At 46.8% G+C, this 12,052-nt stretch overlaps 1 long non-coding RNA gene across 2 annotated transcripts in view, besides 2 other annotated features; it reads right to left on the minus strand.

Moving 5' to 3' along the window:
• The window catches only part of LOC105377923 (uncharacterized), a 63,333-nt gene that overhangs the window by 14,593 nt on the left and 36,688 nt on the right, over window positions 1–12,052 (minus strand). The gene's annotated exons all lie outside the window — the stretch shown is intronic.
• Window positions 6,644–6,844: a silencer, noted in NCBI's record as "peak5998 fragment used in MPRA reporter construct". NCBI's record gives its function as "represses an SCP1 promoter by STARR-seq MPRAs in K562 erythroleukemia cells {active_cell/tissue: K562}" and the evidence as "EXISTENCE:reporter gene assay evidence [ECO:0000049][PMID:32103011]".
• Window positions 8,673–9,174: an enhancer, noted in NCBI's record as "NANOG hESC enhancer chr6:106300905-106301406 (GRCh37/hg19 assembly coordinates)". NCBI's record gives its function as "activates a minimal SCP1, AML or CMV promoter by ChIP-STARR-seq in naive H9 embryonic stem cells {active_cell/tissue: H9 hESC(naive)}" and the evidence as "EXISTENCE:reporter gene assay evidence [ECO:0000049][PMID:30033119]".

Consider the following 12,052-nt stretch of genomic DNA (forward strand, 5'->3'; position numbering starts at 1 on the left):
CAAGGAGGAGCAGCCAAACCCCTGGCATCTAGGCCAAGACCCTCTCCTTTCTCCATTGTTATCCAAACACCCAGCCATGTTTCCCAGGGCGCAGGCCTTCAGCTCACCACAGGGTCCCTGAGGCTGCCAGATTGTTGATTTCACAATCTATGGGACAGTCAGCATGAACGTGAAGAAAAAAGAATCGATAAAAGAAATGAAATGATTGGGAACATTCAAAGCCAGCAGCAGGAGAAACTCAACATGAGCAATCATCCTTCAAATAACACTTCCTCACAGACTAAAAGTGGCAGCAAGTGAAGTTGGATTCAGGCCCAGCTGCGTCCTCCCGCATCTTGTTGGGAGCAGGCGCACTGGTTAATTCTCCTACTTTGGAGAAGAGAAGCTGTTCTTTTGTCATGAACTGCAATTCTTGGAACAAACACAGCATCCTACTTTAAATCTGGAAAAAATGGGCAAGTTCGGTTTGGAATGAAGCTCATATATATTTGTGTAAGTTTTTACTTAGGGAGTAATGATAGCCTTATCATCACTATGGCTGAAAAATGAACTTGATTTTTCAATTCCCAAAGGAATTGAAAACACGTAGGCAAGAACTTAGAACTACCGTCTCTTAAAATAATAGACCACAGAGCTTCATTTTCTAATTAGTTTATGTTAAACTTGTATTAAGAACTCAGTTAAATATATTGACTTAAAGACTGTTTTTTGTATCTAAACTTTTCTTCAATGACTAAAGCTGTTCATGTTTTTTTTGTTTTTTTTTACTAGGATCAGTCAAACCAAATGTGCCTGACATGGAAAAACAGTTTCGATCTTTTGTGAAATATAGTTTGATGTTTTTCCTAAGTTTTATATCAGAATATTCCACAAAGGCTAATTTAGTCTAAAGTGAAAGAAAAAACTGTGAGGAGGCTGGGCGCAATGGCTCACACCTGTAATCCCAGCATTTTGGGAGGCTGAGGCGGGTGGATCACGTGAAGTCAGGAGTTTAAGACCAGCCTTGCCAACCTGATGAAACCCTATCTCTACTAAAAAATACAAAAATTAGCCAGGTGTGGTGGTGCACACCTGTAATCCCAGCTACTGGGGAGGCTGAGGCAGGAGAATCGCTTGAACCCAGGAGGTGGAGGTTGCAGTGAGCCGAGATCGCGCCACTGCACTCCAGCCTGGGTGAGAGAGTGAGATTCTGTCTCAAAAAAAACCCGTGAAAAACACACAATGCACAGGGAGAAGTTTCCGCTTGCTCATGTGGCAGGTGAGGCTCTGGGATACACAGCCCTGACTCTCTCCTTTGCTCAGTCACACATACCCCAGTGTGAGAAAGGTACCGCTGGGGCTGGTGTCTGACTTTAATGCCGGAAAGTTATGCCCCATTCGATTCTCTCTCAGTGCTTCTGATTGTACCAACTAGAAAGTCTCAGCTTGAGCTACTGCGGTCTTAACAGCTAACAATTGCTTTCCTCACCTCTTAGTTTCAAAGAAAGGGTAACTCTCAGGACATTTTACAGGCAACATTTACTAGCTTCAATTTGATAAACGTCCTTTTTTTTTTTTTTATCATACAGTTGACCCTTGAACAATGCAGAGGTTACAGATGCCAACCCCCCACTCCATCCCACCTGCACAGTTGAAAATTCTTGTATAGTTTTTGACTCTCCAAAACTTAACTACTAATAGCCTACTGCAGATTGGAAACCTTACAGATAAACAATCAATTACCACATACTTCATATGTTAAATGTATTATACACTCTGTTCTTACAATAAAGTAAACTAGAGAAAAATAAAATGTTATATAGAAAATCATGAGAAAATATATTTACTATTCATTAAGTGGAAGTAGATAATCATAAACGTCTTCATCCTCCTCATCTTCACTTTGAGGAGGCTGAGGAGGAGGAGGAAGAGGAAGGGTTGGTCTTGCTGTCTCAGGGGTGGCCCACGACAAGAGAACAGGGGCAGTGCTGAAACAGCTGGTGATAATTGAAGTTTCCATCTGGATTTTCCCACTGTGTCTTAGGAACATGGAGGAAAGACACATGCCGGAGGCAATTACCCTACCCCAGCAAAACTGCAGCCATTCTTTCTTGTTTATTCCTTAGCTTGGCTTAAGCAATTTTTTTTTTTTTTTTTTTGAGATCTGGTTTCACTCTGTCGCCCAGAATGGAGTGCAGTGGCACAGTCTTGACTCATGCAGCCTCGACCACCTGGAATCTAGCAATCCTCCTGTCTCAGCCTCCCAAGCAGCTGGGATGACAGGCATCCACCACCACGCCTGGCTAATTTTTTAATGTTTTGTAGAGATGGAGTTTCTCCGTGTTGTTCAGGCTGGTCTCGAACTCCTGGGCTCAAGCAATCCACCTGCCTCTGCCTCCCAAAGTGGTGGATTACAGATGTCAGCCGCCATGCCTGGCTGGCTTAAGCAATTATGAAGTGAAGATGGTGAAGTGCTCCAGGTCCTAATTTCATCAGGACGGTCTAAACTATTGGAGTCTCCAAGGCCTGGCCACCTTGAGGAGCAGGGCAGGCTCTAATCCCATTTGTACACAGGGAAATGAAGAGGCAGTTTGGGATTTGCAGTGCTTATGATTAAATGTACAATATGCTGGTCCTCAAGTGATTCCTAGAAATGCCTAATTCTTTGTGTATGGTCCATAATTTGATATCCTGGCCTGGGGGGAAATCAACCTCCATCTTAGCCACTCTGCACTTCTTTTTCCTCATCTATAAATAAGGGATTAAAACAATAAACATAGTTCAAATGGTGGCTGCAAGAATTCAATGGAGTAAATGCCATAAACCACTAGTACAGGGCTTGGTAAATATAATCTCCTCTTAGTATTAGTTGATATACAGAATGTTCCTGAGCTGCTGGGTATAGTTCAGGGTTATGCAGAAAACAAGGGTTTTGGCTGGGCACGGTGGCTCACACCTGTAATCCCAACACTTTGCGAGGCCAAGGCGGGCAGATCACTTGAGGCCGGGAGTTCGAGACCAGCCTGGCCACCATGGTGAAACCCCATCTCTACTAAAAATACAAAAATTAGCTGGGTGTCGTGGCATGTGCTAGTAGTCCCAGCTACTCAGGAGGCTGAGGCACAAGAATCACCTGGACCTGGGAGGTGGAGGTTGTAGTGAGCTGAGATTGTGCCACTGCACTCCAGCCTGGGTGCCACAGCAAGGAAAAGAAAGGAGAGAGAGAGAGAGAGAGAGAGGAGAGAGAGAGAGAGAGAGAGAGAGAGAAAGAAGAGAAGAGAAGAGAAGAAAGAAAGGAAGGAAGGAAGGAAGAGAGAAAGGGAGAAAGAGAGAAAGGAAGAAAAAGGGAAAGAAAGAGAGAAAGAGAGAAAGAAAAGGGGTTTTTTTCCTTCCTTTATTCCCTCTATTCCTATCTCTCTTTCTTAACTCAGACTTCTCATCCCACACTCACTGCTCTTAAAATGTGGTCTTTCCATTGAGATTAGTGAGAGAACTGTACCGCTTCAAAATTCAAAGAAGGAAATTTTAAAAGGAGCAAATATAACTGGATTCAACCTAGACAGGAAGAGTCAGGGATTTCATGATCCAACCCTAATGGAGCTCTTTTTTCTTCTATACTGCAATCTTCTGCCCTGTATAAAGAGATGCCTATTGTGGCAGGTCTTTTGAAATGCCAGTGAAATGGGATGCAGAGACCAGTCATGTCTATACACGACCTGAAGCCTCCATTTGACCTAGCCTCATCAGAGGAAAAAAGAATATTGCATCAAATTAAATGTGCCTGGACCTAGACCTTTAATTATACAGCTTCACCATCCTCAAGGAGGCCACCACTCATTTAAAATTGTCTATTGCCTACACAAGTAATGTTTGCAAGAGAACAAAGCAATCCCAAATTGGGCCATAATGACCAAAGTCTGCACCACTTGATGCCCCCAAATAGCTAAATCTAGACACAAATCACCTTATTCCCATCCTGTGGGACTGTGATATAAACTACAAAGTAAACTTGCATTGATGAAGACTGCAGCCTCTCTTCAAGACACCCTGTTAACTAGCCATCCACCCTGCTTACTTCCACTCTGATGAAATGTATTGACTATTGATCCCAAAGAAAAGCTTGCTTAGAGAACACAGTTCACTCAGAAATTGCCTGCAAGAACTGTATGATAATACTGCCTTTACTTCGGAAAGCAGATTTTTTATTTTATATGTTTACAAAGCCTTATTTGTAATTTTTGGCAAATAAGGTTTTGGCAGCTTTGAAAAAGAGTCATGATTTGTTCCTCTTAACAAAGAGTAATGAGATGATCTTGTATTTGGCTCGATGGCACAACATCTTTTAGGATGTTTTATAATCATTTTTTCCCTATGATAAATGTGGTCGCTTTAAGATAATGCTGGTCCATTGCAGAAATTTCGGAGAATGTGACAAGGCGACTACGCATCCATAATCCCACCACCCAGACAATCACTGTTAACATTTTGGTATGTTTTCCTTCACTGAGGCATGTGACTGGAATGGTTAAAACCTTCCTATGTACATACCTTTGTATACTGCTCTTTACACTTAATTTTCTACTATCAGCACTAATGATCGCTAAAAACATTAAAGATCTTTTTAATAACTTTATTCCTTTTCAGACGGTTGTGCTATCATTTACTTATCCATTCTTTTAAAGTAGGACGTTTAGGCTGTATTCAGGTTTTCTGCTCTTATAAGCAATGCTGTATTGGACATCTTTATGCATACGTTTCTGTTGGTGTTTTCGACTATTTCCTTAGGACAGACTTCTTGATGCCAATTATTGAGCAGAGCATATGAATCTTTCACAAATGTTTGTTTATAATATGTAGCATACACACAGGCTCATACTTGTCTTATTTTTTAGTTGACAAATTATGGTTGGTTGTTCTTAACTAAAAAAATCATACATTTGAAATTAAGTTTTAGTCCCATATGAAACGAAATGATCAATGCATGTTTTAGATATTTCTTCAGTGACTGATGAGACTAATTATATATTTAACTGATTTGATTTATAACTAGGGTCTACTTAATCATAAATCTGGGCATCGAGGTGGGATTAAAGGATCAAGCAGATCAGGTTTAGCGACAGGACTAGGGACCAGTGAAAAAGCAACAAGGAGCCCCAAACTCTATGTAGCCTTATGAAACATTTTGGCATCTGTGCCACCGGGTGAAACAGTATGCACTCACCTAGCTCCTGATGTGTAGGAGGTGTTTACAGGGCACGAGGGAAAACGCAAACTTCTTCTCTACAGATAGAGAAGGTGCATTAGGCCGGAAAGCACAGCCAGGAATATATGGGTCTTCGACCTGTGGGCCTCCATGGCCTCCAGAAAACCCCTCCCATTCACAGCTCCTCTTCTGCTAGAGGAGAGAAGGCACTTCTGGTTTACAATCCCCACAACACTGGCTGAGGAACACCCAAAGAGCTTCCACCTCTGTCCACACAGCCCCCACCCTTTTGCATTCAACATGTGAGGAAGTGATCAGGTGGCTATTTTTCAATGTTCGTTCAAGTTCTGTGTAAGGTTAGCAGATACATCAGGCCTGCAGCGAGGCAGTAATCCCCTCCTCTGGGATTCCCTGCACTCGCCTCTTAGGAATGTGTATGAGTGAGGGAACATTCATTCACTCTTTTTATTCATCCATTCATTTCTCAGTTTGTCCTTTCATTCAAAAAAGAGTCACTGAATCTTATCTACCACTGTGCAGCAGCTCCTGTACTAGGCAACGGAGGACTCAACAGGAGACATGACAAAGGCGCTGCCCCCGTAAGACTTGTGGCTAATAAAAGAGGCAAGGAATGAAACAAGCAATGGCAACACAGAGGAAATGCAGGACTGTGGCAGAGGGATGCTAGGCAGAGGCCTGATGGCTGTCCCAGAGCAGAAGTGGCCCAGGAGGAAGGGCAGGGCCGCAGGGGGCCGGAGAGGCAAGGAGAAAATGCTCTAGGCAGGGAGGGGGCATGAGCTGGGAGAGTAGCAATGGGCACTGCTTGCAGGATGACGGCCCAAGGGTTAGCATCAGATCCTACTCACAACTGGAAAACAACAGTGCATTAGAGCAGGAAGCTGCCAACTTGGACATCTGACAAGGACAGAAAGTAGGGCCCATAATGTGAAAGAGCTTGCCCAAGTGCCAAAGGAAGTTGATTTTGTGCAAGATGGATGCACAGGCTTCTGCCACAGGCACATCAGCCAGATATTGGGGTTTTTCTCCGGTAACTTTCCTATGGGGACTCCATGTGGACGCATTCCTGTGTATAAATATGTGTGTTCTGGATAATAGTAATGGTAGCCTTTGGGTTCAAAGAGAAAATGCTGGACTTCATAAAATCCCTTTATGAACTAAGTTGAAGTCTGATATTTGAAGAACTGCATTAAATAGGGCTAGAAGAAGTAGCTGCATTCATAACACTGAGACATTCATAACACTGCATTCATAACACTGAGCATTCACAGCTGAGAGGATGCACTTCCCTACTGAATCACTTTAAGACAGAGTTGCAAATCCCATTATCTGTGAGTGCTGTGTGAATACATATGCCAAGACGAATAGTGAACACAGGAAATTGTGCTGAAAATTAATCGCCCTCAGCAATCAATGGGGATAGGCCCCACACGAGAGAAGGTCCGACTAAGGATGGAGCGCACTGCGATGAGACCTTTCTTATATGACCTAGGTGCTCCCAAGACTGCAAACTTCCACTCCTTTGTATCTTTCTTTTCAGCCTGCTAACTGAACCGTGCTAATGGATATCAGAACAGTCCTTGTGGTTTTTCCTATCAAATCTGTTAAAAGGGGAAGAAGGTTCCTGTTGTTAATTGCAGGGGATCTCCTATTCTTTGTTTTAAAGAAAGTTTAAACAAAATGCTCACCCACTCTGGGGCTTTAAAGAAAGTTCAAACAGAACAAAGTTCTCTTGCCAAGGTTTAAGGCGAATCTCCTCCGTCCAGATGGCTTCCTCAGGCAGGCCAATGTAAGAACCCAGACACTCACCCCTGCTGCCTCTTAATGCCGCGCCTTGATTGTTGCTAACGATCCCCAGCTGTCTTTCGTTGCTGGCTCCTTAACCTCTCTCTGCCGGCCACATCTGCCTGCAACTCTGAGAGGGGAAGAGGAGATGCTGACAAAAGAGGCATCCAAGAGATGCTTTGGAGGCTGCCCCCAAAGCAACGCAGATGGGGTCCCGAGTCGTGGGACTGTGCACCAGGAACTTGATTAGAAATTAATTCTCCACAATAAACTTCAGGAAAAAATGTGAATGTCATATTTCATATCAAGGAAATAAACCTGATGATGGGAAATGCCACTAACCAAGGCAAATCCACTAAGAATCCAGGAGTCTGGCCATGATACTTGGCAGGTCACTTTCCCTATTGACTAGTCTACATATTTACTGGGCAGCAGCCCGGAATGGGGTGGTGGCCATAAGAATTCCCACTGTGTTCCAGCAACATGTGTCCACTTTCTCCACGGCCTTCCCCAGCTGCCCCCTTTATTCCAGCCCATCACCCAGCAGACATACTGACTTTTGATCTGTACCAGATACAAGTGGGTCACGTCTGCATCCTGTATTAATTTAATGCTTCCCCTTTGTTTTCTGTGTGTCCTACGAGTGTCTAGCTATGTCAGCCAGTGGGTCTGAATATCCCTGCCTGCCCGGATGTCCATTCAATTCAGACATTAAAAAGTGCACCTTGTTACTATCACCCCATAGGGTGCACTACAGTCTAATAGATAAATCCACATCATCAATAGTAATCTAAGTACCCTCTCTATGCTCTGTACCCCTTCTTCCCCAAACCCTATTTCTTTTTTTTTTTTTTTTTTTTTTTTTTTTTGATGAGCAGTCAGAACACACACAGCATTTATTGGAAGTTTTCCATCTTATATGGGCACAGTTTGTGGCTCCCCAAAACAATTAGAATAGTAATATCAAAGATCACTGATCACAGATCACCATAACAGATATAATAATAATGAGAAACTGAAATGTCGCAAAAATTACCAAAATGTGACCCAGAGACAGGAAGTGAGCGCATGCTGTTGGACAAATGGCACTGATAGATTTGCTTGACACAGGGTTGCCAGAAACCTTCCATTTGTTAAAAAATGCAATATTTGCGAAGTACAATAAAGTGAAACACAGTAAAATGAGGTGTGCTGGGCATCCTGCCATTTATGCACATGCCTCTTTAGGTAGAAAATAATCCTGTAACAGTTGAGGCTGTGGTTGCCTTTCTGAGACTCTTGTCTACAGAAATGGTCAACTGGTGGCCAGCTGGCCAAAGGGCTAATCTAGCCCACAGACATGTTTAGTTGGGGCTACATAGAGCTTTTTACAAATTTGAGTCAATATTTAGAAAATAAAAGTCTGGATTTTGGGATTCCCTTACAAAAACTGGAAAATTTGGCCACACTGGGTCATATTCCCACATAGTCGTGGTGGTTGGGGTTCAGTAGCAGTAGCTGCTGCCCCTTAAGACAGGTCCCCATGGTCCCCACTCAGTTGCTTCCTTATTTATCTTACAAGCCTGGCAAGGAATTTGAGTTGAACTGATCTAGAAGATTGGTGCTAAGAACCAGCTCAGTGGCTTAGCTGTCCTGGGGTCTGCAGGAGAAGGCTTCTTTGTTAGGCCCAGGCAGGAAGTCTGGGCATGGATTGAGGTTTTTTTTTTTTTTTTTTTTGACCTTTTAAATATTTATTTATTTTTTATTTTATTTTATTTTATTTTATTTATTTATTTATTTTTAATTGATCATTCTTGGGTGTTTCTCGCAGAGGGGGAGTTGGCAGGGTCATAGGACAATAGTGGAGGGAAGGTCAGCAGATAAACAAGTGAACAAAGGTCTCTGGTTTTCCTAGGCAGAGGACCCTGCGGCCTTCCGCAGGGTTTGTGTCCCTGGGTACTTGAGATTAGGGAGTGGTGATGATTCTTAACGAGCATGCTGCCTTCAAGCATCTGTTTAACAAAGCACATCTTGCACCGCCCTTAATCCATTTACCCTGAGTGGACACAGCACATGTTTCAGAGAGCACAGGGTTGGGGGTAAGGTCACCGATCAACAGGATCCCAAGGCAGAAGAATTTTTCTTGGTACAGAACAGAATGAAAAGTCTCCCATGTCTACTTCTTTCTACACAGACGCGGCAACCATCCGATTTCCCAATCTTTTCCCCACCTTTCCCCCCTTTCTATTCCACAAAACCGCCATTGTCATCCCTGCCCGTTCTCAATGAGCTGTTGGGTACACCTCCCAGACGGGGTGGTGGCCGGGCAGAGGGGCTCCTCACTTCCCAGTAGGGGCGGCTGGGCAGAGGCGCCCCTCACCTCCCGGACGGGGCGGCTGGCCGGGCGGGGGGCTAACCCCCCCCCCATCTCCCTCCCCGACGGGGCGGCTGGCCGGGCAGAGGGGCTCCTCACTTCCCAGTAGGGACGGCCGGGCAGAGGCGCCCCTCACCTCCCGGATGGGGCGGCTGGCCGGGCGGGGGGCTGACCCCCCCCCACCTCCCTCCCGGACGGGGCGGCTGGCCGGGCGGGGGGCTGACACCCCCACCTCCCTCCCCGACGGGGCGGCTGGCTGGGCAGAGGGGCTCCTCACTTCCCAGTAGGGGCGGCCGGGCAGAGGCGCCCCTCACCTCCCGGACGGGGCGGCTGGCCGGGCGGGGGGCTGACCCCCCCACCTCCCTCCCAGACGGGGTGGCTGCCGGGCGGAGATGCTCCTCACTTCCCAGACGGGGTGGCTGCAGGGCGTAGAGGCTCCTCACTTCTCAGATGGGGCGGCCGGGCAGAGATGCTCCTCACCTCCCAGACGGGGTCCCGGCCGGGCGCTCTCACATCCCAGACGGGGCGGCGGGGCAGAGGCGCTCCCCACATCTCAGGCGATGGGCGGCGGGGCAGAGACGCTCCTCACTTCCTAGATGGGAAGGTGGCCGGGAAGAGGCGCTCCTCACTTCCTAGATGGGATGGCGGCCGGGAAGAGGCGCTCCTCACTTCCTAGACGGGATGGCGGCCGGGAAGAGGCGCTCCTCACTTTCCAGACTGGGCAGCCAGGCAGAGGGGCTCCTCACGTCCCAGACGATGGGCGGCCAGGCAGAGACGCTCCTCACTTCCCAGACGGGGTGGCGGCCGGGCAGAGGCTGCAATCTCGGCACTTTGGGAGGCCAAGGCAGGCGGCTGGGAGGTGGAGGTTGTAGCGAGCCGAGATCACGCCACTGCACTCCAGCCTGGGCACCATTGAGCACTGAGTGAACCAGACTCCGTCTGCAATCCCGGCACCTCGGGAGGCCGAGGCTGGCGGATCACTCGCGGTTAGGAGCTGGAGACCAGCCCGGCCAACACAGCGAAACCCCGTCTCCACCAAAAAAGTAAGAAAACCAGTCAGGCGTGGTGGCGCGCTACAGGCACTCGGCAGGCTGAGGCAGGAGAATCAGGCAGGGAGGTTGCAGTGAGCCGAGATGGCAGCAGTACAGTCCAGCTTCGGCTCGGCATCAGAGGGAGACCATGGAAAGAGAGGGAGAGGGAGACCGTGGGCCGTGGGGAGAGGGGGAGGGGGAGGGGGAGAGGGAGAGGGAGAGCCAAACCCTATTTCTTGAGGGAAGCAAACCTATTATCTTTAGCCTAAAATCCAAACAGTTGGCTGACTTAGCAAGGTTTTTTATTTGCTCCTTTGTTTCTTTTCCTTTTTTTTTTTTTTTTTTTTTTTTGAAACGGAGTCTCGCTCTGTCACCCAGGCTGGAGTGCAGTGGCACGATCTCAGCTCACTGCAAGCTCCGCCTCCCAGGTTCACACCATTCTTCTGCCTCAGCCTCCCCAGCAGCTGGGACTACAGGCGCACACTGCCACACCCGGCTAACTTTTTGTATTTTTAGTAGAGACAGGGTTTCACCGTGTTAGCCGGGATGGATGGTCTCGATCTCCTGAGCTCGTGATCCACCAGCCTTGGCCTCCCAAAGTGCTGGAATTACAGGCGTGAGCCACCGTGCCCAGCCACTCCTTTTTTTCTTTTAGCCCACATTAGGATATTACTGAGTCTTCTCGTTTTCATACAAAATATTGGAAAAGAAGCGTGAGCTCACTAGTTCAGCTGGTATACCCATGGCATGAGGCTGCAGGGGGCACAGAATGGTGTAGGAGCTGGAGGGTGGCAGGCTTTGCATTCAGACCTGGATTGCGAGTCTGTCACTTGGATTCCTTAGCTTGTGACAGTGGCCACATTTTATGACATATCTGAGCCTTTGCCTTATCATTCGTGAAACATGTTCTGGCATTGCAGAGATAATATATGCAAAGTTCCTAGCCCAGTGCCTTGGATGCAGTTGGTACTATGGGAACTATTATTAGATGTCAAAAGTTGTTTTTTTTCATTTGTTTGTTTTTTCTTTTTTTTTTTGAAACGGAGTCTCTCTCTGTCACCAGGTTGGAGTGCAATGGCGCGATCTTGGCTCACTGCAACCTCCGCCTCCCAGGTTCACGCCATTCTCCTGCCTCAGCCTCCCGAGTATCTGGGACTACAGGTGCTGGCCACCATGCCTGGCTAATTTTTTGTATTTTTAGTAGAGACAGGGTTTCACCATGTTAACCAGGATGGTCTCCATCTCTTGACCTCATGATCCACCCGCCTCGGCCTCCCAAAGTGCTGGGATTACAGGCGTGAGCCACCATGCCTGGCCAATGTCAAAAGGTCTTTTTATTTAGTTGAAATGTGAGCCAGTTTCTTCCCAACATGTGGACATTTTGTCTATAAGGAGATGATGTGGAAAAGAATGGATGATTCAGTTAAAAAGCAAACTAGCAGTAGATGCAAAGTGGCTGGTGACCAGGGTCGGCTCACACACAGCGGCCCTGGGGAAGGAAAGCTCCCATAGTCCCTCCGACCACCTTCAAGTTTTTTATGCATTAGGACCGTCCACCAGACCTCACCTGCAACCTCACCCGCAACCTACGTCTGCTTACCATTTAAACAATCAACCAGGTTGGCAAGACCTTCCAAACTTGACCCCAAATTTGACCTCGTCCTTATACACTCTGTGCCTAGA

This window comes from Homo sapiens, chromosome 6 (assembly GCF_000001405.40).
Source record: "Homo sapiens chromosome 6, GRCh38.p14 Primary Assembly".
Classification (NCBI taxonomy): Eukaryota; Metazoa; Chordata; class Mammalia; order Primates; family Hominidae; genus Homo; species Homo sapiens.